This window comes from Homo sapiens, chromosome 20, assembly GCF_000001405.40.
Source record: "Homo sapiens chromosome 20, GRCh38.p14 Primary Assembly".
Classification (NCBI taxonomy): domain Eukaryota; kingdom Metazoa; phylum Chordata; class Mammalia; order Primates; family Hominidae; genus Homo; species Homo sapiens.
This window is the reverse complement of record NC_000020.11, coordinates 63,696,337-63,720,419: the sequence shown is the minus strand read 5'-3', so window position 1 is coordinate 63,720,419 and position 24,083 is coordinate 63,696,337. Positions and strand designations below refer to the sequence as shown.

General features: G+C 55.0%; 3 protein-coding genes and 1 long non-coding RNA gene across 25 annotated transcripts in view, besides 13 other annotated features; 1 reads left to right on the top strand and 3 right to left on the bottom strand.

Annotated features, from left to right (window-relative positions):
* ZGPAT (zinc finger CCCH-type and G-patch domain containing) overlaps positions 1-12,978 on the bottom strand; it is a 28,701-nt gene extending 15,723 nt beyond the window's left edge. For 2 of the 5 annotated variants that reach the window (NM_032527.5, NM_001195654.2), the window contains exons 1-2: positions 12,232-12,381; positions 11,256-11,867 (exon numbers count right to left, since the gene is read on the bottom strand). In NM_032527.5, the coding sequence (NP_115916.3) occupies positions 11,256-11,839 (584 nt within the window). In that variant the 5' untranslated portion in view covers positions 11,840-11,867; positions 12,232-12,381. Of the gene's footprint in view, positions 1-11,255; positions 11,868-12,231; positions 12,382-12,860 lie in introns of those variants that run through there. The other 3 variants (NM_001083113.2, NM_001195653.2, NM_181485.3) reach the window with 3 other exon arrangements.
* Positions 3,424-3,925: an enhancer, noted in NCBI's record as "H3K4me1 hESC enhancer chr20:62347847-62348348 (GRCh37/hg19 assembly coordinates)". NCBI's record gives its function as "activates a minimal SCP1, AML or CMV promoter by ChIP-STARR-seq in primed H9 embryonic stem cells {active_cell/tissue: H9 hESC(primed)}" and the evidence as "EXISTENCE:reporter gene assay evidence [ECO:0000049][PMID:30033119]".
* Positions 11,496-12,456: an enhancer, noted in NCBI's record as "H3K27ac-H3K4me1 hESC enhancer chr20:62339316-62340276 (GRCh37/hg19 assembly coordinates)". NCBI's record gives its function as "activates a minimal SCP1, AML or CMV promoter by ChIP-STARR-seq in primed H9 embryonic stem cells {active_cell/tissue: H9 hESC(primed)}" and the evidence as "EXISTENCE:reporter gene assay evidence [ECO:0000049][PMID:30033119]".
* Positions 12,109-12,268: a silencer, noted in NCBI's record as "silent region_13180". NCBI's record gives its function as "represses an Ori minimal core promoter by ATAC-STARR-seq in GM12878 lymphoblastoid cells {active_cell/tissue: GM12878}" and the evidence as "EXISTENCE:reporter gene assay evidence [ECO:0000049][PMID:35858748]".
* Positions 12,309-12,368: a silencer, noted in NCBI's record as "silent region_13179". NCBI's record gives its function as "represses an Ori minimal core promoter by ATAC-STARR-seq in GM12878 lymphoblastoid cells {active_cell/tissue: GM12878}" and the evidence as "EXISTENCE:reporter gene assay evidence [ECO:0000049][PMID:35858748]".
* Positions 12,444-21,773, top strand: ARFRP1 (ARF related protein 1). Of its 18 annotated transcripts, none has more exons than NR_051957.3 (8): positions 12,444-12,553; positions 13,328-13,421; positions 13,682-13,769; positions 13,981-14,063; positions 18,203-18,284; positions 18,525-18,590; positions 19,718-19,818; positions 19,890-21,773. NR_051957.3 is itself a non-coding variant. In NM_003224.6 (8 exons), exons 2-8 carry the CDS (start codon positions 13,329-13,331, stop codon positions 19,975-19,977), a joined length of 606 nt encoding a protein of 201 aa, NP_003215.1. In that variant the 5' UTR covers positions 12,444-12,553; position 13,328; the 3' UTR covers positions 19,978-21,773. The 18 variants fall into 18 exon arrangements, 13 of the variants coding, with proteins under 13 accessions (NP_003215.1, NP_001254476.1, XP_011526785.1 ...); NR_051954.3 differs by having other exon boundaries at positions 18,522-18,590; NR_051956.3 differs by having other exon boundaries at positions 13,323-13,421.
* Positions 12,789-13,028: a silencer, noted in NCBI's record as "silent region_13178". NCBI's record gives its function as "represses an Ori minimal core promoter by ATAC-STARR-seq in GM12878 lymphoblastoid cells {active_cell/tissue: GM12878}" and the evidence as "EXISTENCE:reporter gene assay evidence [ECO:0000049][PMID:35858748]".
* Positions 13,119-13,168: a silencer, noted in NCBI's record as "silent region_13177". NCBI's record gives its function as "represses an Ori minimal core promoter by ATAC-STARR-seq in GM12878 lymphoblastoid cells {active_cell/tissue: GM12878}" and the evidence as "EXISTENCE:reporter gene assay evidence [ECO:0000049][PMID:35858748]".
* Positions 13,319-13,378: an enhancer, noted in NCBI's record as "active region_18248". NCBI's record gives its function as "activates an Ori minimal core promoter by ATAC-STARR-seq in GM12878 lymphoblastoid cells {active_cell/tissue: GM12878}" and the evidence as "EXISTENCE:reporter gene assay evidence [ECO:0000049][PMID:35858748]".
* Positions 19,999-20,880: an enhancer, noted in NCBI's record as "H3K4me1 hESC enhancer chr20:62330893-62331773 (GRCh37/hg19 assembly coordinates)". NCBI's record gives its function as "activates a minimal SCP1, AML or CMV promoter by ChIP-STARR-seq in naive and primed H9 embryonic stem cells {active_cell/tissue: H9 hESC(naive and primed)}" and the evidence as "EXISTENCE:reporter gene assay evidence [ECO:0000049][PMID:30033119]".
* Positions 20,779-20,858: an enhancer, noted in NCBI's record as "active region_18247". NCBI's record gives its function as "activates an Ori minimal core promoter by ATAC-STARR-seq in GM12878 lymphoblastoid cells {active_cell/tissue: GM12878}" and the evidence as "EXISTENCE:reporter gene assay evidence [ECO:0000049][PMID:35858748]".
* Positions 20,929-20,978: an enhancer, noted in NCBI's record as "active region_18246". NCBI's record gives its function as "activates an Ori minimal core promoter by ATAC-STARR-seq in GM12878 lymphoblastoid cells {active_cell/tissue: GM12878}" and the evidence as "EXISTENCE:reporter gene assay evidence [ECO:0000049][PMID:35858748]".
* Positions 21,049-21,228: an enhancer, noted in NCBI's record as "active region_18245". NCBI's record gives its function as "activates an Ori minimal core promoter by ATAC-STARR-seq in GM12878 lymphoblastoid cells {active_cell/tissue: GM12878}" and the evidence as "EXISTENCE:reporter gene assay evidence [ECO:0000049][PMID:35858748]".
* Positions 21,469-21,518: an enhancer, noted in NCBI's record as "active region_18244". NCBI's record gives its function as "activates an Ori minimal core promoter by ATAC-STARR-seq in GM12878 lymphoblastoid cells {active_cell/tissue: GM12878}" and the evidence as "EXISTENCE:reporter gene assay evidence [ECO:0000049][PMID:35858748]".
* RTEL1-TNFRSF6B (RTEL1-TNFRSF6B readthrough (NMD candidate)) overlaps positions 21,722-24,083 on the bottom strand; it is a 40,889-nt gene continuing 38,527 nt past the window's right edge. Inside the window, exons 36-38 of the long non-coding RNA NR_037882.1 lie at positions 23,229-23,660; positions 22,898-23,092; positions 21,722-22,140 (exon numbers count right to left, since the gene is read on the bottom strand). This is a non-coding gene — a long non-coding RNA (RTEL1-TNFRSF6B readthrough (NMD candidate)). The remainder of the gene's footprint in view (positions 22,141-22,897; positions 23,093-23,228; positions 23,661-24,083) is intronic.
* Positions 21,736-23,768, bottom strand: TNFRSF6B (TNF receptor superfamily member 6b). The gene is made up of 3 exons (NM_003823.4): positions 23,229-23,768; positions 22,898-23,092; positions 21,736-22,140 (listed from the first exon to the last, which is right to left on the bottom strand). The coding sequence occupies exons 1-3, from the start codon at positions 23,650-23,652 to the stop codon at positions 21,857-21,859; spliced, it is 903 nt and encodes a 300-aa protein (NP_003814.1). The 5' UTR covers positions 23,653-23,768; the 3' UTR covers positions 21,736-21,856.
* Positions 22,614-22,663: an enhancer, noted in NCBI's record as "active region_18243". NCBI's record gives its function as "activates an Ori minimal core promoter by ATAC-STARR-seq in GM12878 lymphoblastoid cells {active_cell/tissue: GM12878}" and the evidence as "EXISTENCE:reporter gene assay evidence [ECO:0000049][PMID:35858748]".

The following is a 24,083-nucleotide window of genomic DNA, read 5'->3' as shown; positions in this document are numbered from 1 at the left end:
ACTTTGGGAGGCCGAGGCAGGAGGATCATGAGGTCACGAGATCGAGACCATCCTGGCTAACACGGCAAAACCATGTCTCTACTGAAAATACAAAAAATTAGCCAGGAGTGGTGGCACGCACCTATAGTCCCAGCTACTCAGGAGGCTGAAGCAGGAGAATCGCTTGAACCCAGGAGGCAGAGGTTGCAGTGAGCCAAGATCAAGCCATTGCACTCCAGCCTAGGCTATAGAGTGAGACTCCATCTAAAAAAAAAAGAAAATTAAAAAAAATTTTTTAAAAATAAAGAAATTAATAGAAACTGTTCCTGAGGAAGCCTAGACATTTGAATGACTAGACAAAAACTTTCAATCAATTACCTTAAATACACTAAAAAAAGAGGCTGGGCACAGTGGCTCACATCTGTAATCCCAGCATTTTGGGAGGCTGAGGCGGACAGATCACCTGAGGTTAGTAGTTTAAGACCAGTCTGGCCAATGTGGTGAAACCCAGTTTCTACTAAAAATACCAAAAATTAGGTGGGTGTGGTGGCACATGCCTATAATCCCAGCTACTTGGGAGGCTGAGGCAGGAGAATCACTTGAACCCAGGAGGCGGAGGTTGTAGTGAGCCAAGATTGTGACATTGCCTGCCAGCCTGGGTGACAAGAGTGAAACCCCGCTTCAAAAAAAAAAAAAATTAATAACTAAATAAAAAGAAATTTAAAAATAAAGGAAACCATGGATAATGAACTAAAGGAAAACAAAAGAACCATGTCTAACCAAATAGAGAATACTAGTAAAGTGATAATTACTACAGAAAGAAACCAAATAGAAACTTTGGAGCTAAAAAGTACAGTAACTGTAGTGAAAATTTCACCAGAAGTTTCAACAGCAGATTTGAGAAGGAAGAAGAAAGAAACAGTGAACTTGAGGACAGGTCAGCTGAATTTATCCAAAATGAGGAGCAGAAAGAAAAAAAGAACAAAGAAAAATGCCTAGAGCCCAAGGGACCTGTGCTACACCATGAAGCACATCAATGTATGCATAAAGTTCCATAAGCGGCAAACAGACAGAAAGAAACAAAACTAGTATTTCAAGATGCAAAGAATAGTAGCTGAAACTTTGCAAATTTAATGAAAGACATGAATTTACACATCCAAGAAGTCCAATGAACTCCAAGTAGCTTATAAATTGAGGGATCCACACTGATACATTATAATCAAACTGCTGAAACCCAAAGATAGAGAATCTCCTAAAACAGCAAGAGACAAGTGACTAGTCAATATATAAATGTTCCTCAATAAGATTAACAGCCAATTTCTCATCAGAAACTATTGGACCAGAAGGCAGTGAGATGACATTTTTTTTTTTTTTTGAGATGGAGTCTCGCACTGTTGCCCAGGCTGGAGTACAGTGGTGTGATCTCAGCTCACTGCAAGCTCCACCTCCCGGGTTCACGCCATTCTCCTGCTTCAGCTTCCCGAGTAGCTGGGACTACAGGCACCTGCCACCACACCTGGTTAATTTTTTGTATTTTTAGTAGAGACAGGGTTTCACCATGTTAGCCAGGGTGGTCTTGATCTCCTGACCTCGTGATCTGCCCACCTCGGCCTCCCAAAGTGCTGGGATTACAGGCGTGAGCCACCGTGCCCAGCCAAGATGGCATTTTTAAAGTCTTGAAAGAAGGCCAGGTACTGTGACTCACACCTGTAATCTCAGCACCTTGGGAGGCCGAGGAGGGATGACAGCTTGAGCTCAGGAGTTCAAGACCAGCCTGGGCTTGAGTGAGACCTTCTCTCTATTAAAAAAAAAAAATTGGGGGCTGGGCATGGTGTTTCACGCCTGTAATCCCAGTGCTTTGGGAGGCCAAGGCGGGCAGATCACCTGAGGTCAGGAATTCGAGACCAGTCTGACCAGCACGTTAAGACTAAAATACAAAAATTAGCCAGGTGTGGTGGTGTGTGCCTGTAATCCCAGCTACTGGGAAGGCTGAGGTGGGAGGATCACTTGAACCCGGGAGGCAGAGGTTGCAGTGAGGCAAGATTGTGCACCACCATTCTCCAGCCTGGGCGACAGAGCAAGACCCTTTCTCAAAAAAAAAAGAAAGAAAGAAAAACTTTTTTGGAAAATTTACAAATATGCAGAAATAAAGACACTCTTGAATAACGAGTAAGTCGAACAAAAAAACAAAAGGGAGATTAGGATGTCTTGAGATCAATGAAAATGGAAATACAACAGAACAAAACAGCCAAGTGGCAGGGTGCGGTGGCTCTTGCCCATAATCTCAGCACTTTGGGAGGCCGAGGCAGTAGGACTCCTTCAAGTCAGGAGTTTGAGACCAGCCTGGGCAACAAAGTGATACCCTGTCTCTGCAAAAACTTTTTTTTTTCTTTTCTTGAGATGGAGTTTTGCTTTTGTTACCCAGGCTGGAGTGCAATGGTGTGATCCTGGCTCACTGCAACCTCTGCCTCCCAGGTTCAAGCGATTCTCCTGCCTCAGCCTCCTGAGTAGCTGGGATTACAGGCACCTGCCACCACGCCCAGCTAATTTTTGTATTTTTAGTAGAGATGGGGTTTCTCCCTGTCGGCCAGGCTGGTCTCGAACTCCTGACCTTAGGTGATCCACCCACCTTGGCCTCCCAAAGTGCTGGGATTACAGGTGTGAGCCACTGTGCCTGGCCTCTGCAAAAACTTATAAAAGAAATTAGTTAGGTGCAGTGGTGTACACCTGTAGTCCCAGCTACTTGGGAGGCTGAGGCAGGAGGACTGATTGAGTCCAGGAGCTCAAGGCTACAGAGCTATGATCGCATCGCTGCTCTCCAAACGGCAACAGAGTGAGACTGTGTCTCAAACAACAAAACAACAACAAAAAACAATCTTATGGAATGCAGTGAAAGCAGTGTTTAGAGGGAAATCTGTAGCTGTAAATGCTTACATTCAAAAAGAAACACCTTGGCCGGGAAACGTCTACTCAGGAGGCTGAGGCAGGAGAATCGCCTGGGCGGCGGAGGCTGCAGTGAGCTGAGATCATGCCACTGCACTCCAGTCTGGGTGACAGAGGGAGACTCCATCTCAACAGCAACCAAAAAAAAAAAAAAAAAAAAAAAAAGAAAAGAAAAAAGAGATCTCAAATCAATAACTTAACTGTATACCTTGAAAAATTAGGGGAAAAAAAGAGCAAATTAAACCCAAACCAGCAGAAAAAAGGAAACAAAGGTTAAAATGGAAATAAATGAAACAGAATGGGAAAACAATAGAGATCAGCAACAAAAAAGATCAACAAAATTGACAAACCTTTAGCGAAAATGACCAAGAAGAAAAGACAGGCCATGCGTGGTGGCTCATGCCTGTAATCCTAGCACTTTGGGAGGCCAAGGCTGGTGGATAACCTGAGGTCAGGATTTCAAGACCAGCCTGGCCGACAGGGAGAAACCCCATCTCTACTAAAAATACAAAAACTGGCTGGGCATGGTGGCTCATGCCTATAATCCCAGCACTTTGGGAGGCCAAGGTGGGCGGATCACCTCAGGTAGGGAGTCCAAGACCAGCCTGGCCAACATGGTGAAATCCCATCTCTACTAAAAATATAAAAATCAGCCAGGCGTGGTGGTGCACGCCTATAGTTCCAGCTACTCAGGAGGCTGAGGCAGGAGAATTGCTGGAATCTGGGAGTCGGAGGTTGCAATGAGTGAGATTGCACCACTGCACTCCAGCCTGGGAGACAGAAACAGACTCCGTCTCAAAAACAAAAAAACAAAACAAAACTAGCTGGGTGTGGTGGCTCACACCTGTAATCCCAGCTACTCAGGAGGCTAAGGCAGAATTGCTTGAACCTGGGAGGCAGGGGTTGCAGTGAGCCAAGATCATGCCACTGCACTCCAGCCTGGGTGACACAGTGAGACTCCATCTCAAAAAAAAAAAAAGAGGAAGAAAAGAGATGACTCAAATTGCTAAAACCAAGAGAGAAAGTGGAGCTATTACTACTGATCTTACAGAAATAACTAGGGCTATAAAAGGATACTATGAACAATTGTATGGTAACAGATTAGATAACATAAACAAAATGGACAAATTCCTAGAAACATGCATGCAAACTATCTAAACTGACTCAAGGCTGGACGCGGTGGCTTATGTCTGTAGTCCCAGCACTTTGTGAGGCCGAGGCGGGTGGATCACCTGAGGTCAGGAGTTCGAGACCAGCCTGGCCAACATGGTGAAATGCTGTTCCTACTAAAAATACAAAAATTAGCCAGGTATGCTGGCGTGCGCCTGTAGTCCGAGATACTGGGGAGGCTGAGGTGGGAGAATCACTTGAACTCGGGAGGTAGAAGTTGCAGTGAGCCAAGATGGCACCACTGCACTCCAGCCTGGGCGACAGAGCGAGACCAAACTGACTCAAGAAGAAACAGAAAATCTGAATAGACCTATAACAAATAAAGAATCAGTAGTCAAAAAACTTCCAATGAAAGAAAAGTTCAGAAACTTTCACTACAGTTATACGTTTTAGCTTCCAAAAAGAAAAGTCAATTTCAATAAGGAAATTGAATCAATAGTCAATAAACTTCCAACAAAAGAAAAGTCCATCTCTCTCTCTCTCTCTCTCTCTCTATATATGATTGTATATATCACTTCACTGTTGAATTCTATCAAACATTTGAAGAAGAATTAACACCAATCCCTTTTTACCTCTTCCCATAATATAAAGAATACTTCCTAACTCATTCTATGAGGCCAATATTATGCTGGCATCAAAGCTATACAAAGACATGCCAAGAAAAGAAAACTACAGACCAATATCCCTTATCAATACAGATGCAAATATTCTCAACAAAACAGCAGCAAATCAAATCCAGCAATGTTATTACATGATAAGGCCTTAAACTTTTAACTGTTAAAAAGATAAGGCTCGCTGCGGTGGCTCACGCCTGTAATCCCAGCACTTCGGGAGGCCAAGGTGGGTGAATCACGAGGTCAGGAGTGCAAGACCAGCCTGTCCAACATGGCAAAACACCGTCTCAACTAAAAACACAAAAAATTAGCTGGGCATAGTGGCGGGCACCTGTAGTCCCAGCTACTCAGGAGGCTGAGGCAGGAGAATTGCTTGAACCCGGGAGATGGAGGTTGCAGTGAGCCGAGATCGCGCCACTCACTCCAGCCCGGCGACAGAGTGAGACTCTGTCTCAAAAAAAAAAAAAAAGAAAAAGAAAAAAGATAGGGCCAAGTGGCTCATGCCTATAATCCCAGCGCTTTCGGAGGCTGAGGCAGGAGGATCACTTTAGCCCAGGAGTTTGAGACCAGCTTGGGCAACAGAGTGAAATCTCATCTCTACAAAAATAATAATAATAAAGAGATAATACGCCATGAATATGCGTGCTTTATCTGAGGAATTCAAGGATGGTTCAACATACGAAAATCAATATACCACATTAACAAAATGAAAGGAAAAAAACCACACATGATCATCTAAAGGAAAAAAGCATTTGAAAAATCCCACACAGCTGGGTGCAGTGCAGTGACTCACCCCTGTAATCTCAGCACTTTGGGAGGCTGAGGCAGGATTGCTTGAGCCCTGGAGTTTAAGACCAGCCTGGGCAGCAAAGCAGGACCCTACCTCTACAGAAAAATTAAAAAATTAGCTGGGCATGGTGGCTCATGCCTGTAGTCTCACCTACTCAGGAGGATGAAGTAGGAGGATCCCCTGAGCCCAGGAATTCGAGGTTGCAGTGAGCCATGATCATGCCACTGCCCTCCAGCCTGGGTGACAGAACAAGACCCTATCTTTAAAAAAAAAATCAACACCCTTTCATGATAAAAAACACTCAACACACTATGAATATAAGAGAATTTCCTCAACTCGATAAAGGGAATCTACAGAAAACCTACAAGTAACATCATATTCAACAGTGAAAGACTAAAAGTTTTCCACCTAATATCAGGAACAAAAAAGTTTTCCACCTAAGATCAGGAACAAGATAAAGATGTTTGTTCTAGCCACTTTTTTTTTTTTTTTTTTTAAAGACAGGGTTCTTGCTCTGTCGTCCAGGCTGGAGTGGAGTGGCATGATCTTGGCTCACTGCAACCTCCGCCCCCCAGGTTCAAGCAATTCTCATGTCTCACCCTCTCAAGTAGCTGGGACTACAGGTGCACATCACCTCACCCAGCTAATTTTTGTATTTTTAGTAGAGATGGGGTTTCGCCGTGTTGGCCAGGCTGGTCTCAAACTGCTGATCTCAAGTGATCTGCCCACTTCCACCTCCCAAAGTGCTGGGAACACAGGTGTGAGCCACCACCCCCGGCCCGCTCTAGTCACTTTTATTCAACATTGTACTTGAAGTTCTAGCTAAGGCAGTTAAGCAAGAAAAAGAAATAAATGCCATGCAAACTAGAAACAAAGACTACAATTATCTCTATTCACATATATATTAATTGTATATATTGAATATATATGATTGTATATATCGAAAATCCTAAATAGTGCATAAAAAATCCTATTAGCACTAATAAACCAATTCAGCAATCAATACAGGATTAACATAAAAAAATCCACTGTATTTCTTTTTTTTTTTTTTTGAGATGAAGTCTCACTCTTGTTCCCCAAGCTGGAGTGCAATGGCGCGATCTCAGCTCACTGCAACCTCCGCCTCCCAGGTTCAAGCAATTCTCTTGCCTCAGCCTCCTGAGTAGATGGGATTACAGGCACCTGCCACCATGCCAGACTAATTTTTGTATTTTTAATAGAGGCTGGATTTCACCATGTTGGCCAGGCTGGTCTCGAACTCCTGACCACAGGTGATCCACCCGCCTTGGCCTCCCAAAGTGCTGGGATTACAGGCGTGAGCCACGGTGCCCAGCTTGTATTTCTATATACTAGCAACAAACAGCCTGAAAATGTAACTAAGGAAAACAACTCCAGCCGGGCACAGTGGCTCACATCTGTAATCCCAGCACTTTGGGAGGCCGAGGCAGGCAGATCACCTGAGGTCAAGAGTTCGAGACCATCCTGGCTACATGGTGAAACCCCATCTCTACTAAAAATACAAAAAATTAGCTGGGCGTGGTGGCAGGCACCTGTATTCCCAGCGACTCAGGAGGCTGAGGCAGAAGAATGGTGTGAACCCGGGAGGTGGAGCTTGCAGTGAGCCAAGATTGGGCCACTTCACTCCAGCCTGGGCAACAGAGCAAGACTCCATCTCAAAAAAAAAAATTAGCTGGGTGTGGTGGCAGGCACCTGTGATCCCAGCTACTTGGGAGGCTGAGCAGAAGAATTGCTTGAACCCGGGAGGCAGAGGTTGCAGTGAGCCAAGATTGTGCCATTGCACTCCAGCCTGGGTGACAGAGCAAGACTCTGTCTCAAAAAAAAAAGGAAAAGAAAAACAATTCCTTAGAGAAGCATCAAAAATAATACTTATTTAACCAAGAATGTGCAAGACTTGAACAGTACAAAATACTGTTGAAAGAAATTAAAGACGTAAATAAATGGACAGATCCTTCATTCATGAATTGGAAGACTTAATACTGTTTTTTTCTTCTGTTATTGTTGTTGTTTAAGATGGAGTCTCCCTCTGTTACCCAGGCTGGAGTGCAGTGGCATGATCTCAGCTCACTGCAACCTCCTCCTCCCAGGTTCAAGCGATTCTCCTGCCTCACCCTCTCGTGTAGCTGGGATTACAGGTGTGCACCACCTCCGACTAATTTGTTTTTTATTTTTAGTAGAGACGGGGTTTCACCACGTTGGCCAGGCTGGTCTTGAACTCCTGACCTCAAGTGATATGCCCGCCTCAGCCTCCCAAAGTACTGGGATTACAGGCGTCAGCCACCACACCCAGCCAGAAGGCTTAATATTGTAAAGATGACAATGTGCCCCAAACAGATCTACACATTCTATGCAATCCATATCAAAATTCAAACTGTCTTTTATGCAGAATTGGACAAGCCGATCCTAAAATTCATATGAAATTGCAAAGGATCCAGAAACAAAACAAACTTGAAAAAGAGGAGCAAATGGTGAATAACTACCACTTCCTGAGTTTAAAACTTATCACAAAGCTATAATAATCAGAACAGTGTGGTACTGGCACATATACACCAATGGAACAGGAGAGAGAGCTCAGAAATAAACCCTTACATATATTGCCAATTGATTTTGGACAAAAGTGCCAAGACCATTCAGTGGAGAAAAAGCAGTCTTTTAAACAAATGGTGCTGGGAAAACTGGAAATCCACATGCAAAAGAATAAAGTGGACCCTCACCTAATAACATATACAAAAATTAACTCAAAATGGATCAAAGACCTAAATTTAACAGCTAAAACTACAGAACTCTTAGAAGAAAACATAGGTGAAAATCCTCATAACTATGGATGAGGTGGTTTCTTAAACCTGATGACAAAAACATAGGCAATAAAGAAACAATAAATTGCACTGCATCAAAATTTAAAATGTTTGTGCATCAAAGGACACTATATCAAGTGAAAAGACAACCCAAACAATGGGAGCAAATATCTGCAAACTATATACTTCATAAGGGATGATATCCAGAATATATAAAGAAATCCTGGGCCGGGTGTGGTGGCTCATGCCTGTAATCCCAGCACTTTGGGAAACCAAGGCGGGATCACCTGAGGTCAAGAGTTCGAGACCAGCCTGGCCAACATGGTGAAACCCTGCCTCTACTAAAAATATAAAAATTAGCTGGGCACCACGTGGTGACAGGCGCCTGTAATCCCAGCTACTTGGGAGGCTGAGGCAGGAGAATCCCTTGAACCCAGGAGGTGGAGGTCATGCCATTGTACTCTAGCCTGGGCAACAACAGTGAAACTCCATCTTAAAAAAAAAAAAAAGGTCCAACGCAAATCCAAGAGAACTTATCAGTCCTGAATGGTGGCAAGGTGGACGTCTGTAAGATGCTCCGGAAGCTTTCAGATCAGGCCTGATGCCGACATGGCAAGCAGCACTGGGTGGAGCAGGGGACGGAACGAGGGCTGGGGGCAACCGGAGCCCTCTGAGCCTTGAAGCCCTGGACCACTCAGTTCTTCTACTCCTGTTTCCTCCTCTGTCAGATGGTGTGACTGCAGGGCCTACCTACAGGGCTGTTGCACAGATGAATGAAAGTATATGAAACCCTTGGAGCAGTGCCTGGCCCAGAGGGAGCACCACAGGGATGTGTCAGATCTCTCATCAAAGGGATCAGGAATTCGAGACCTGGGTAATATGGTGAAATCCCGTCTCTACAAAAAATACAAAAATTAGCTGGGCGTGGCAGTGCACACTTGTAGTATCAGCTATTAGGGAGGCTGAGGTGGGAGGATGGCTTGGGCCAGGGAGGCGGAGATTGCAGTGAGCCGAGATTGTGCCACTGCACTCCAGCCTGGGTGACAGAGCAGCAAGACGCTGTTTCAAAAAAAAAAAAAAAAGGAAGACATTCAAAGAACTAGAACTAGAACTAGGGATGGTTACACGGTCAGCCTGAACTATTGGCTAAAAAAGAAAATTACCTACTAGAAGGCTTGGTAAATATTTCTTCTAAGAGAAAAGTAAAAAGGAGGAAAAATAAAGCTATGCGCTTAGGGAAATAGAGACATTACAGTAATAATTGTTCATATTTGAATATGGAAGAGGTATTACCATTAAATGTGTTACCTATTATGACACAGAAGTTACTCTTTTTTGTCCTCACATCGGACTTGGACTTCCAAAAAGTTACTTTTTAAGTAATTTCCTAATCAGTTAGATTAGAGATGCAACTATGAAGTATTCATAATTGGAAAAAACCAGTAACTTCTGGAATTTGCTTTAAAATGGCCCAGGAAAGAAAAAAATAGGGCAGGGAGAACAGACAAAATGAGACTGGGAAAATATTAATAAATGACGACATTGGATGATGGACCGTGGGCGGTGATTATGCTAAACTCTCTAATTTGGGGTATGTTTGAAAATCTCCATGAAAGTAAAATTTAAAAGTTGAACTCTAGAGAATAAAACTAACAACAGGGCCAGGCGCAGTGGCTCACGCCTGTGATCCCAGCACTTTGGGAGGCCAAGGTGGGTGGATCACGAGGTCAGGAGTTCAAGACCAGCCTGGCCAAGATGGTGAATCTCCGACTCTACTAAAAATACAAAAAATTAGCCCAGTGTGGTGGCGGGCGCCTGTAATGCCAGCTACTCTGGACGCTGAGGTAGAGAATTACTTCAACCCGGGAGACAGAGGTTGCGGTAAGCTGAGATTGCGCCACTACACTCCAGCCTGGGTGAGGAGAGTGAAACTCTGTCTCCAAAAAAAAAAGGCCAGGCGCGGTGGCTCACGCTTGTCATCCCAGCACTTTGGGAGGCCAAGGTGGGCGGATCACGAGGTCAGGAGATTGAGACCATCCTGGCTAACATGGTGAAACCCCGTCTCTACTAAAAATACAGAAAATTAGCCAGACATGGTGGCGGGCGCCTGTAGTCCCAGCTACTCGGGAGGCTGAGGCAGGAGAATGGCGTGAACCCGGGAGGCGGAGCTTGCAGTGAGCCGAGATCACGCCACTGCACTCCAGCCTGGGCAACAGAACAAGACTCCATCTCAAAAAAAAGATAAAAAATTATAGTAATATAAAAATTAGCTGGGTGTAGTAGCGTGAGTCTGTAGCCCAGCTCCTAGGGGGGCTGAGGCAGGAGGATCGGTTGAGCCCAGGAGGTCCAGGCTGCAGTGAGCCAGGACTATGCCACTGCACTCCAGCCTGGTTGACAAAGTAAGACCCTGTCTCAAAAAAAATTAAAACAACCACCAAAAAAAAACTGACGATAGGCTGGAGACCTACTCTCTTCCACATAAGCCTTGCACTGCTGCTCGGGCTGCAGTACAGTGGCTGCATCTCCACTCACTGCAAACTCGGCCTCCTGGGTTCAACCAATTCTCCTGCCTCAGCCTCCTGAGTAGCCAGGACCACAGGTGCGCGCCACCACGACCGGTTCATTTTTGTGTTTTTAAGGAGATGGGGTTTCACCATGTTGACCAGCGTGGTCTTGAACTCCTGACCTCAGGTGATCTGCCCGCCTCGGCTTCCTAAAGTGCTGGGATTACAGGCGTGAGCCACCGCGCCTGGCCTCCTTCCATGCTTCTTGATTCACCCCAGAAGGAAGACGTAGACGCCTGAACACAGACACAGCTGTCAAAGCACGCCTGCCCCAGGAAGCTGAGACAAAACTGCAAAGCAAAGGGAGGGCCGATCCTGACCCGACCCTGTGTGCGTGCCCCTTACGCCCCTAAGGTTGGCATCTGACAACAAAGGGCTTTACCTGCAGTTCTCCTTAAAGCGGCACTTTCCCTCCAGGAAGAACGGGCACGGCTTCAGAGACTTGTGAGTGGGGTACAGGTAAAGCACACGGACACCCGCCGAGCCATCCTCCGCCTCTTCCGTTCCCACCACCATGGCGTTGTGATACTCCAGAGTGCCCCAGGAGCTGTAGTAGGGCGCGCTCACCTTTGTCCCACTCAGCTCTTCCTCGTCCTCTCCCTCTTCCTCCTCCTGCCCACCTGCCGCAGATTCTGGCCCCGCCTCTGCTTTAGGAACGGTCTCTGATCCGGACCCACGGGCCGCTGCTGGTGCCTCCACCGCCTCAGTGATGGCCTCCCGGAAAGCCTGGTACTCAGCATCTTCCTGGCGGCCCGGGCGCTCTTCGTCCAGCGCGGCCAACAAGCTGCTCTTCCTGACAGACACCAGGCTGGCCTCGGTGAGCTCGATGAGCTCCTTCAGGTCCCCCTGCAGCTGGCGCAGGTCAGCCTGCTCAGACGAATCCAGGCCGGCGCCCAAGGCCAGCTCCACCTGCTGCAGCTGCGCACGGTAGGTCTGCAAGGCCGACTCCAGGCTCTCCTCGTCCATGCTGAGAGAGGGAGGCGCTGGACCAGGGCTGCAAGAAGAGAAGCCAGCTGAGCCCCGCGTCTCGGGACCGACCCCACAGCCTGAGGGCGGGCACGGGCACGGGCACGTCCCCTTTCCCTCGGGGAGACACCGGCTCAGAGGCACAGCTCCCAGCGCAGAGGTCGCAGCCCGGGTACCCCCGCTCAGGCTCCGCGCTTCCCTTCCGAGCCGCCGTGGGCTCGCCGCTAGCCGGGTCCCGCGTCACTCCGGAGCCCCTTCCCCGCGGGGCGCCCCGCCGCCTCACCCTCCGCCGAGCCCACCCGCCGCGCCCGCCGCCTTCCAGGCCGGCCGCGCCCCCCCGCCCGGCGTCTCTTCTGTCTGGCCAGGGCCGCGTCCCCGCAAACCGCGGCCACCTGGTCCCCGGCCGGGCACCTCCTCCGCGCGGTTTCCCAGCCGCAGCCACAGAGAGCCCGCCGGCCTCACCGGCTAGAGCGGCCCGGCGCCCCCTTTTCGCCCCAGCAGCCGATCGGCACTTCCTCCCGAGCGCCGCCGCTTCCGGAAGTGCTTGGCGCGCGGGGGCAGCCGGGAAGCGGAGCGCGGAGGCCGCTGGGACGCGGTTCAGCTCATTCCCTGAGGCCGGCCCGCGTCCCGTCAGGCGCCGCGCGGGGTTAGCGCGGGGTCAGCGGAGGTCAGCGGGGGTCAGCAGCAGCGGCTCCGAGGGCGCGGCGGACGCAGGTAGGCCGCAGGCTGTGCGGTGAGGCGCGAGGCCCGAGGGGCGGCCCAGGACTCGAGGTGGGACGCGGGTGTGACAGGAGCCAGCTTTGGCTGCTTGTCGGGGAGCCTCAGACCTGGCGGCGGCGGCTTGGGGCGGACGTAGCCGGGGGCCGCGACCCAGGTTCTTCCTTCGCAGTCGTTCCCTGCCAGCCGCGCGCCGCCTCCAGGTGCACTCCAGGAGCAGCCGCGCCGCTGCTCACCCGCCCTGTAGTCCGCTCCCCCCAGGGCCGTCCCCGTTTTAAGAAATGGGGTGATGGGGCGTCCCTACCCGGCGCCTGCAGGGGCTCCTGGGGAGCGCGCCGGTGGCTCGCTGCTCCCGGGTGGGGCGCGGGGCTGGCGCTCGAGGGTGCCGTGGCCCAGGCGGGGCTGCAGCGAGTGTGTTCCCCGTTCCGCGCGCGTGAAGCGTGGGAGCGAAGCCTCGGGGGAGGGCGGGAGCGCGGCTGAGCTCACTGTGAACACCCGGCTGGGTAGTCCCGCGAGCAGGGGAGGGGCCGGAACCGATGTGTATGCGGAGAGGTCGCAGTCATTGCTGTGAGCAGGACACAGTGGCGGCTGACCTGGGAGAAGTTACAGAGGGACGGGGTGGGAGAGGGACGAGGAGTCGGGAATGGCCCCCAGGCTCTCGTCCTGAGCGGTCGGCTGGACGTGGGGCGCCACTGACCACCGTGGAGAAGCCCGGGGGAGGGGAGGTGCTTTCTGGCTGCACACTGACCTATGTTGGGGTGCCCAGGGCAGGATGTACACGCTGCTGTCGGGCTTGTACAAGTACATGTTTCAGAAGGACGAGTACTGCATCCTGATCCTGGGCCTGGACAATGCTGGGAAGACGGTGAGTGCCCACGCCCTTGCGCGCACCTTTCCCACGGCCTGGCGGCGCCCCCTTCGGTTTTGTGCTGTCAGCTGCACGTTCACTACCCAGACGGAAGCCAAATTTCACCTGAGACGGCAGGATAGTCACCACCAGCCTCCTGAAGAGCAGAGTGTTGCTCTGTTTCTGTTTCTGTCTTTTAAAGAACAGACCTGAGTAAGGATATTTGGAAGCCAGTATAGCCCCTCCTTGATGTGTTTCGCCTCTGCCTCTCTCCTCAGACCTTCCTGGAGCAGTCGAAAACCCGATTTAACAAGAACTACAAGGGGATGAGTCTATCCAAAATCACCACCACCGTGGGCCTAAACAGTAAGGGTCTCAATAGCAGGCTGTGGGTTTGGGGCCTTGAGGATGCCGTGATATTCACAGTCCAGCTGGCCCGTGGCCACAGCCCTGTCGGGCCCCTCTCAAGTCTCATTTGAGTGGCACCAGCATGGTTTGCCCCATCCCCTGGGAGAGCTGGGACTGGGTGTGTCGAGGACCAAGGTCATGAGCCTTGCCTGTTTCCTCCTCTCCCCAGTCGGCACTGTGGATGTGGGAAAGGCTCGGCTCATGTTCTGGGACTTAGGAGGGCAGGAAGAGCTGCAGTCTTTGTGGGACAAGGTAAGACTCCCTGGCCAGGACCACCCCCACCCCAGCCCTCCAGTGCCACTTCTTTCCAGAGTGCCCTTTGGGCCCTTCCTCAGCAGTTTTCCTTACCCACTCTGTCCCTCGGGTTTTCTCTCTGGTCCTGTCCCAGGTTCCCGAGTGGCTCCCTGTTTTGTCCCAGCTGAACCCTTAGCTGAAGTTGCCCCAAAAGTGGTGGTAGGGGAGTTTCCCACTTGGGAGTTCCCTGCGATGGGGCCAGTGGAGAATTCCAGGGAAAGAATCACTAAATGCCAAGGCGATCAGATCAGAGCATGTATTAGGGGAACCTGTTGACAGAGTGCGGCATCCTCAGGTGACCAGTGAGAGAAGGGCGTGTTCACTGGTCATGCCTGAAGCCGGGGGGGATCTGGGTTCAGGGCTGGGGCTAGTTTCTTTCAATGTTTTGAAACCTGAACATTATGTTAACAACCTAAACATCTTACAAGTGTCTGGGAATGTTCAAACCCTGGCTTGGGTTTGAGCCTAAGGGCAACCTCGCTGGCCAAGTCAGAGAGGTCAGGGCAGTCTGTTTCTTTCTCAGTCAGGACAAGACAAAGTGTGGGGACCTGGGGACCCTGCACTCCTCCAAAGTGAGTGCCTCCTTTCGGCTCAGAGACCTTGCTGCTGACCACCACAGGACACAGAAATGGCAAAGACCAGATGTGGGGACGGCAGGATGGCTGCCTCTCCCCTGATGAGGTTCCTTCAGTTCTAGCTTAACATTTGTTCTTCCATGATCACCAGAAGACTCCTCAGGGTCTCACAGCGGCAGTCTCCTATTTTGACACAGGTTTTGGGCATTTCTGAGATCCCAGTGTGGTGCCCCTTCCCCACACCCCCAAGGCTGCAGTTTATCTCCTTCTCAGCCTGGGCCAGGCACTGAGTCCAGCACTGAGCAGGGCAGAGCCTGTGGCTTCCTCGGGCTCCCTGCCCTAGGCTGGCACAGTGGGTGTGGGGTGTCCCCAGTGCCTTGGCTGCCCTGATGCCATCTCTAGAGCTGAGTGCCCAGGTCCTGATCTCTTTTTTGATCCTAGTTCCCCTTTCCTAGGCGCCCCCAAAGTGTCCCCTCCTGCTGTGACTTCTAGCCAAGAAGACATTTCTCCCATGGCCAAGTGATCTCTGATAGATCCTGTAGGACCACTGAAGTCAGACAGGACAAGTTGAGTCAGGGCCTGTGTGTCCAGTGCGCAGCATGCTTGGGGAGTGACACAGATGATGATGATCTTGTCACAGGCCGGTGTCTCAGGCACAGATGCTGAGACAGGTCGAGGTACAGGATGCACACTGGGGGTCGGCACCAGGAAGGCAGGGAGGACGGGAGAGGAGAGGTCGACTCAGGCAGCAGGATCCACAGAGCTGTGGTTGGCCCAGCAGGGAGCCCTGGAGGAGAACTGGCTATGCTGTGCCATGTGGGGCCAGGCTGGCCGGGACTTCACACCATGGCCTGGTGGGTCCCCAGTGTGGGCTGCCCTGGGCAGGTGTGACCTGGCAGTGTGGCTCTTTGCAGCCAAAGTGGGTCCCACAGAAACCAAAATGAGACCATCTGCTGGTGCAGTGTTCTCCAACATGAAGCAAGAATACAGTGGGGCCAGAGATGCCTGCACTGGCCACAGCTGCAGCCCTATGTGGACCCACACTTCCACGTTGGAGAGGGGTTCCTCCAAGGTCCTGAGGGCCTCTCTTAAGGCGAAACTGGAAGAGGGAGACTTAAGGGGGCCACTGTAGCCCATCCTTGCTGCTGGTCTTGGGGCTGCACAGCCCTTCCTTGAGTGCCCTCCCAATTCACTACCACTTCTGCTGGGGTGCGACTTCCTGGCAGTCTGAGCCCTTCTCCAGACACCACCGTGGTGGGGCCAGTGGCTCCCTGGGTCCCCAGCTGTGGGACAGCTGTGGGATGGCAGCCCCATCTCCTGCCCACCAGGGTCTCCTAGACATGAGGTGCAAGTCATGCCCATGAGGCAGCTGTGGCTCGTCATTCAGCGTGTCTGCTGAGTATGTGCTGCTCTAGTGGCCGGGACCCCTGACCCTGCTGAGCTCAGAGCTGGGAGGATCAGCTGCAGGGACCCCCCTAGGTCACTGGGAGGGACCGGAAGGGAGGCCCCTGCTCCCACCCTGGTTTCCTGTATCCTGCATCCTTGTGCAGAGCCAGCACCACAGAAAGGGGCGTCATTGCGAATTGGCCTCGTCCTGGGGCTGGACCCTGGGTTGGTGTCCACATGTGTGGCATGTGCCAGGACCTCAGCTCCTGGGTTCTTTGCTGTAACACTAGTCTCTCAGGCTGGCTGGCACTTTGCAGTTGGGGAGCTCCCATTGCTGCTGGGGAGAAAAACTCAGACCCACAGTCCCTCTGACTGCTCCACTGGGGTCAGCTGGCCAGCCAGGAGCCACGCTTGGACACCTCCCTCTTCCCCCTCCTTGTGGGGCACCCCACAATGACCACTGCTGTGACGCCTCCACTGGGGCGTGGGGCTCTGGGTCCTGCCCGCACTCAGCCCTGAGGTGTCGCTCCCGTCCACTGCGGCCCTGCTGGGCTGTGCACCTTGTGCCTGGTAGGTGTGATGGGTGGCTCTGGCCACGTGGTCCCATGGTCCAGGACCCGGTTGCACATGAACCTTCTGCCACCCTGCTCAGAAGCCCCAGGAGCCACGTGGAGATTCTCTCACTGGGCTTGCTGCAGCCTCCACAGAGCCGCCCCTCCTGCCACAGAGGTCTCCACCTTAGGGTCCGCCTGCTCCCTTGTGTCAGCAGCAGACAGCCGGCACACTGCAGGGTCCCTTGAGGGGTTGGCGGCCTCTGTGTGGGACCTGTCTGTAGGCCAGAGAAGTTCCTGGGGGTGGGGGGGCCTCGCTACCTGCAGAACCCTGGAGGGCGCCTGGCCTTGGGCCTCCTCTCCACTGTGGGAAGTTCCTGGGGGTGGGGGGGCCTGGCCTTGGGCCTCCTCCTTTCCACTGTGGGAAGTGCAGGTGCACAGGCTTCTCTCCTCTGTGGGAAGTGCAGGTGCACAAGCTTGTCTGGCACTGGGATGGGGTTGTCTGGTACTCCCTGCTCAGACACCCTAAGGATTTCGGAGAGTTGGGCTGTGCCTCCTGGCTTCTCATGCTCTCGGGTGTGTGTGTCTTAACACACTGACCACCAGCTTGTCCTACCTGGTCAGCATCCAGTTCTAGGTCTCTGGGCACTCATGCCTGGACAGGAGAGCTGGCACAGCCTGGAGGCAAAGTGGCAAATGTGAGCTGTTGTCTGCTCCACGTGGACGCGGAGTTTGCTGTGTTTTTTTCTGATTGAGATAGAGGTGCACTCATCTGGTCCAGGGCTCAGCACTTGTACCTGAGGCTGCAGGGGCTGTGCCCTGTCTTGCCCAGGAGTGTTGCCAGCGAGCCCAGGACTGACCAGCCCAGGCTGCAGAGGTCTGAGCTCAGTGACTCTGGCCCTGTCCTGGCAGGGAAGGCTCGCTTCGTAGATGGCGCTGGTCAGTCTTATCCGCATGGCCACACTCCCTCCCTGTGCGAGGTGCTGGCACAGAGCCCCACAGGTGCACTCCCTCAACGGGCCAGGCTGTGGTCTAGGTTCCTCCAGCCCCCAAACCCTATCTTTTTTTTGAGACAGGGTCTCTCATTCTCACCCAGGCTGGAGTGCAGTGGTGTGATCAGAGCTCACTACAGCCTCAACCTCCCAGGCTCAAGCCATCCTCCCACCTCAGCCTCCCGAGTAGCTAGGACTGCAGGCGCACATTACCATAAGCTTTTGTACAGACGGAGTCTCACTGTGTTGCCCAGGTTGGCCGTGAAGTGGGCTCAGGTGATCCTCCTGCTTCTGCCTCCCAAAGTGTTGGGATAATAAGTGTGAGCCACCACGCCTGGCCCAATCCCTGTCTTTCACCTTTGGCCACCATCAGGCCAAAGGTTGCCGGCAGGTTCTCAGGAGCAGCGTCTGGGGACACCTCCACCAGATCTCCCCGCAACCCCAGAATGCATCCCAGAAGGGTCTTGCAGTTGGGGGCTGCCCTCTTGCCCCTTCCTCATGTGAGCCCCTCACTGTGGCCATGACACAGGCCTGGCTCTGCTGGCCCTTGGCAGGGTGGGGACTGAGCCCCAACTCCTGGTGCTTCCTCCCAGTATTATGCGGAGTGTCACGGCGTCATCTACGTCATTGACTCCACCGACGAGGAGAGGCTGGCTGAGTCCAAGCAGGCGTTTGGTGAGTGCGGCCTGGCTGCTCTGGGAGGGATGGATGGTGAGTGGGGGCAGGTCCAGCTTGGGCAGCTCTGTGCCTGGGGCAGGCTCAGTGTCTGGTCAGAAGTGCTCCTGCCTAGTGGGTGACGGGGGGGGGGGGGGCAGAGGGAGTGGCTGTCACAGTGTCCACGCCTGTGGGCCCCTGGGCAGTCAGAGGCAGGATGCTGGGTGTGAGGCGCTGCCTCTCCTGCCCTCCCCAGAGAAGGTGGTGACCAGCGAGGCGCTGTGCGGTGTCCCCGTCTTGGTGCTGGCCAACAAGCAGGATGTGGAGGTGAGCCCCACCCCTGCCTCCCGCAGCAGCTTCCCGAGTCCCCAGCCTCCCCCACAGCAAGGGGAGCAGGTGTGCACCCAGACACCCCAGGCCCAGTGACTGCCCAGGGGGTACAGAGCCATTCTCAAGGCCTGCCCTGCCCCCAGCAGCTTCCCAAGCCTGGTTCCTCTCCAGACCTGCTGCTGCCAGCCCTGGAGGTTCTCCCACCTCAGGGCAGGCGCCCAGAGGCCTCTTCCTGCTATGCAGGGCACCTCTCCCCAGGAGGGCGGCCGTGTCTCAGGAGTGTGTGGCCAAGCTGTGGGGACACCCAGGTGAAACTCAGAGCTCAAAGAAGTGATGCTGGGGCCCTGGTGGGAGTCAGCTCTGACCCTTACCTGTTCCTGCTACCCTTGGAGGTGGCATCTGTGCCAGCCCCACCCCCAGGGCAGCCCCTCAAGACCCCTCTGAGGTGCCACTGCCCCCGGGAGCACTGGCCACGCTGAGTTCTAGCTGTTCTCTTGGAGTGGCTTTGCACAGAAGCAGCCCGGCGTCCAGAGGGCCAGGTGAATCTTCACTTCCTGCCTTCTCTGGGGTGGCTCTGTTGCCCCCAGCCTGTAAGGCTGGCCTCCCCTACAATCTCAGCCGACAAGAGGGACATCTGGTACGGGGCAGGGGTCTCCCCTCGGAGGAAAAGGGGAGGGGAGGGCTGCTTTTTGAAGACTGGGCAGGTGGTTGTGAGCAGAAGCCACCATGACTGCAGACTGCCTCCATCACTGATGCAGGGCTCCCACCTCTCCATCATCCCCGGCTGTGTGGGCCCCTGGGACCTGCCTCCGCCACTGCCCAGGAGGCCTCAGTCCTCAGCGCCCCACCTCGGGGCTCAGGGTGTCCCCCAGGGAGGGGATGGGGGGTGGACTCCTTGGAGCCGTGTGGACGTCTAGTTTGTCTCAGGCACTACCAGCCATGTTCAGCCTCGGGCTGAGCACAGGGTCCTCACTGCTGTGGTCTCTGTGGGAGACACTGGGACCCTGGTGGAGCTCTGGCTGTTTCCCTGGGGTGAAGGGCATACGCCCTTCTGAGAGTCCCGGGCCCACAGGCAGGACAGGGCCAGACGTGGGGGCTGCTCCTCACGGCCTTACCTCCCCCAGACGTGCCTCTCAATCCCTGACATCAAGACGGCCTTCAGCGACTGCACCAGCAAGATCGGCAGGCGAGATTGCCTGACCCAGGCCTGCTCGGCCCTCACAGGGTGAGTGGGGGCTGCACCTGCGGGGGCTTTGGGGACCGAGACCCCCCGCCTCACACCCGCTGTCTTCACAGCAAAGGGGTGCGCGAGGGCATCGAGTGGATGGTGAAGTGTGTCGTGCGGAATGTGCACCGGCCGCCGCGGCAGAGGGACATCACGTAGGCGCAGCCGCGCTGCCGTCGGGACGGCTGGTCCCCTGGTGCTGGAGGAGTGGCCTCCTGTTGGCTCCCATGCTGCTGATCTGGGGGGTGGGTTTGCTTTGCTTTGGGGTTCTTCTATTTACTTTGTTTTCTCGAAGACAAACTTTCCTCTATGTCTGGAAAAGCGTAGGCATCCGGAGGCTTTGGAGGGGAGTCTGGCAGCCCGGCTGGCCCAGGCCCTGCAGCGGCAGCCTTTCCACAGGGCGCAGCGGCGGCCTTTCGAGGCCCTTTCTGGGGGGTCTGAGGGAGACCTGGTTGGGAATTGGGGCTCCAGTGCTCAGGCTGGCTTGGGCTGCATGAGGACAGCCCTGTGGGACCCTCGGGAGACCCCGTGGCTGTCTCCGCCCCATCGAGGAGGAGGCCCGTCAGCCATGGCTGCCATCTGGCTTCTGCCCTGTGACCCCGTGACCCCGTGACCCCGGAAGTGGTCTGGGGCTGATCTTGCCTTGAGGAAGACCCAGGCCATGTTCCCAAAGGCCAGCGGGGGCCCTGGATTGTGATGCAGCCTCGGGACAGGGCTGAGGCCTGCGGGGGAAGACCTATACCCCACGCCTGGGCCTGGCTTCACCTCACCCTAATCCCCCGGGAGGGAGCTGACTGATGCAAAAAGCTGAGGGGGCCTGCTGGGAGTGGCTGTTTTTATGCCCCAGCCCCGCAAGTTGGGGAGTGTTTGTGGGGGTCCAGAGCCCTCCCCCAGCCAGGAGAGAACCTCCCGGAGGGGTTCTCTGTGGGGCCCTGTGTCCCCTGCTCGGGAGTAAGGCTGGTCCTGGGGTCCTCCCTGCACGGACCCCACTGGGCCTGCCGAGTGCTGTGTTCTTCCTCAGTCTGGCTGTGGGCAGGAGCGGCCTGCCCAGTGTCACCCAGGGTGAGTGCAAAATAAAGACGGCGAGTGTGGCTCTGTCCATCCCTTCCCTCCTGGAGGGTGGAGGCTCCTGGCTGTTGGACACGGTGATGGTGTTACTGGGCTGCTCAGGGGCTGGTGGGCAGGTGAGGGGCTCCCCAGGTGGGCCTGGAGAGTCCAGGCACTCCCTTCCTGCGGATGTGGGAAGGACATGGGGTCCTGGGAGGAGCTGCTGGGAAGGGGCATGAGTCAGGGTGGGGGTGGCGCAGCAGCTGCGGGGCTGTGACTCACAGGAGTCGGGCCCTGGAAGTCCCCGCGTCCTCTCCAGGGGACCCTGTGTGTGTTCTGCAGGTTGGTTCCCAGGACCTGGGGGGGACCTCCAGCCCCGGGAACCTGGCCGTGCTGGGGAGGCGAGTGGCTGGTGCAGCCCCCCGGTTGCTCTGGGTGCATCGGGAGGCTTCAGAGCCTGCCCCAGAGAGGGAGAAGCTTCACTTCCCGGAAAGCATGGGAGGCCTGGAGGAGGTCTTTGGCAGGTCCCCTCTCGGGAAATCCCCTGTGAGTTGGGAGTGGGAGGAATTCATAAGTGGGGGGTTAGTGTGGGCCCCGGCGACTAGGGCTGGCCTGAGCCCCATCCTGTTCTTCCAGCAATGATACCCTCCCAGGCCCTGACCCTCGCTGAGCTTCAGGGGCCCCTGCCACGTGCCACAGCCACTGGGGGCAGAGGTGGCACTCCCCACTGATCCTCCCAGGGAGGGTCTGTCTGAGGTAGGGGAAGCCCCGGGCAGCAGTTCTGATGGCAGGCAGCCTGAGGGATCTGGGCACAGCGGGCGGCTCAGGTGTCCCCGGCTGCCCTCCCAGTAGCTGTGCAACTACAACCAGTTTTATGAAAAAGCTTTATAAAAATAAGCTTTAAGAAACCTCATTTCTTCTATTTAAAAAAAAGCCTCTTTCAGTGCAAGTGGGGTGCCAAGGATGTAGAATAAATAAGAGGGGGCCAGGATCAGTGCACAGGGAGGAAGCGCTCACGGACGCTCCGCTCCAGCCCGGGCATCCTGGCCACGCGCAGCGCCTGCAGCAGCCGCACCAGCAGCGCCCCGTCCTGCGCCCCCAGGAGCTCCGTGAGCCGCCGACGCAGCTTCAGCTGCAAGGCCGCGCGGCCCGCCCTTGGTGTCGGACCCCAGCCCTCCGGGGCCTCGAGGGCCTGCAGCAGCCGCTGCAGCCTCTTGATGGAGATGTCCTGGAAAGCCACAAAGTCGATGACGGCACGCTCACACTCCTCAGCTCCTGCAGTGGGGTGGGGAGGCAGCGGTCCGATCATTTCACCCACACACACTGGCGGGGGCTGCCAGGTACCCTGCTTTCTGGGCCCCACTCGGGGGGTTTGCAGGAGAGAGAAATCCCTGTGCAGTGAGCCGTGCTGGAGAGGGCAGTGCAACGATGGGGACTGGAGAAGGGGCAGGAGCCTTCGGTCAGAGAGCTGGAGCAAAGGCCTAGGGGGCAGGAGCGGCCACTCGGACCTTGGCTGCAAGAGGCAAGGGGGCCCAGGCAAGGGCTTGGGGCTCCTGGGCCATCGGAAGGGGCGAGTTGGGACCTGCAGATGGACCGGACCTGACTTGATGTTAAGGGGGTCACTTCCCCCTGTGACTTCTCAACAGTGGTTAACATTGGGCCTCGGTTTCCCCATGTCAGAGGAGGCAGCCACCTTCCTCTCAGGCAGTTAGGAGAGTTACCATCAGGCCTCGGTTTCCCCGTGTCAGAGGAGCCAGCCACCTTCCCCTCGGGCAGTTAGGAGATTGCTGCCCACTTTCCCAGAGCTCCCCAGGGGAGGCTGTGCCCTGGCTCAGATCCAAATTCTCAGCCACCCCTGAGAGGGCAGACTTGGTGGGGATCTAGTGGAGGGACCCCTGACCCCTCAAATCCACTGTGGCCCCTTCCCAGAGCCAGCTGGCATGCCTCAGGCTAGATGCACGTGCAGGGGCAGGAGTGAGGGCACAAGTGGGCCTGGCCTGCAGTGTGCTGCCCCCTCAGGCCTCTGGCTCACCTGGTACCCTGGTGCTGAGGGGGAAGCCAGTGCAGCTGGTGCACAGGGTGTCATGGGAGGAAGAGCCTGGCACATTGAGGGCCAGGCCCAGGGCCGTGCAGTTGCGGTGGGGCTGGCACTGCTCTGAGCTGGAGCTGCTGGCTGAGAAGGTGCCTGGGGGGCACGGCTGGCACTGCGTGTTCTGGCTGGGGGTGCCTGCAGCCAGGAGGGAAGAACAGGGTCAGGGGAACTGGTGTCCTAGCTCAGGGTGCAAGGCTGGGACCAGCAACCTGACCCCTGCCACACCTCCGGCCACCACTCCTGGGGGCCCCTCCCCTCGCCCAGCTCTCACCCGGGGCAATCACGCCGGCACCAGGTGGACACGATGCGTGCTCCAAGCAGAAACCAGCGTGCGCGAAGAAGCCGGTGCGGCAGCGGCAGGCACGGTTGTGGGTGGCGTGGCAAGCCCGTGCCTCCTCCTCACGCTCCCCGCAGAGGACGTTGCAGTAGCGGCAGCGCTCTAGGTAGTTCCAGAACTGCGTGTAGTGGCGCGGTGGACACGGGCCACACGTCGTGGGGCTGTCTCGGCGGCACGGCCGCTGCACAAAGGTGCCTGGGGGGCACTGGGCGCACACCAGCCGCTCCCCTGTCTCTGCGTCCCGCCAGGGGTAGGTGGGTGTTTCTGCCACTCCGCGTACAGCCGGCACCGGCAGCAGGGCAGGCAGCGCCAACACCAGGCACAGCAGCGACAGGCCTGGCCCCTCCAGCGCCCTCATGGTCCTTGCTGGAGCAGGGAGAGCGCGGCTCAGCGCGGACACAGGACCCTGCTGTGCCTGACCGACATGCCACCTCCTTTGCCCCCGGTCCGCCTGCGGAGGGGCCGCCCAAGTCCAGAAGCCCATCCTGCTGCTGCCCTACATATATGGGCGGGGAGAGGGCTGGGCCAGCCTCGCCACGCCCCATAGGAACCCCTCCCTCCCCAGGCAGCCCCCCTCACCCACCTGGTACCATCCCTCCCCAGAGCTCAGTCCAAGGGTGGTTCTGGGAGGGGCCTCACCAGCCAGGGAGCTGCCCTCCTCAGCACCTGGGGCAGCTCCCAACCCAGAGACCAGCCCAGGCAGCCTGGTGTGTCGGTGGATCCCCTACCAACTGCAGCTTGGCTGCGGCTGTGAGGATGAGGGCAGGGCTGAGCCCACCGTGGAGGAAG

Coding starts and splice junctions, on each gene's coding strand:
- ARFRP1 (NM_003224.6), top strand. CDS start 13,329: ATGTACACGCTGCTGTCGGGCTTGTACAAGTACATGTTTCAGAAGGAC. Junction 13,422..13,681: donor TGGACAATGCTGGGAAGACG/GTGAGTGCCCAC, acceptor CTCTCTCCTCAG/ACCTTCCTGGAGCAGTCGAA. Junction 19,819..19,889: donor GCCTGCTCGGCCCTCACAGG/GTGAGTGGGGGC, acceptor CTGTCTTCACAG/CAAAGGGGTGCGCGAGGGCA.
- TNFRSF6B (NM_003823.4), bottom strand. CDS start 23,652: ATGAGGGCGCTGGAGGGGCCAGGCCTGTCGCTGCTGTGCCTGGTGTTG. Junction 23,093..23,228: donor TGCCGGCGTGATTGCCCCGG/GTGAGAGCTGGG, acceptor TCCTGGCTGCAG/GCACCCCCAGCCAGAACACG. Junction 22,141..22,897: donor CCTCAGCACCAGGGTACCAG/GTGAGCCAGAGG, acceptor ACCCCACTGCAG/GAGCTGAGGAGTGTGAGCGT.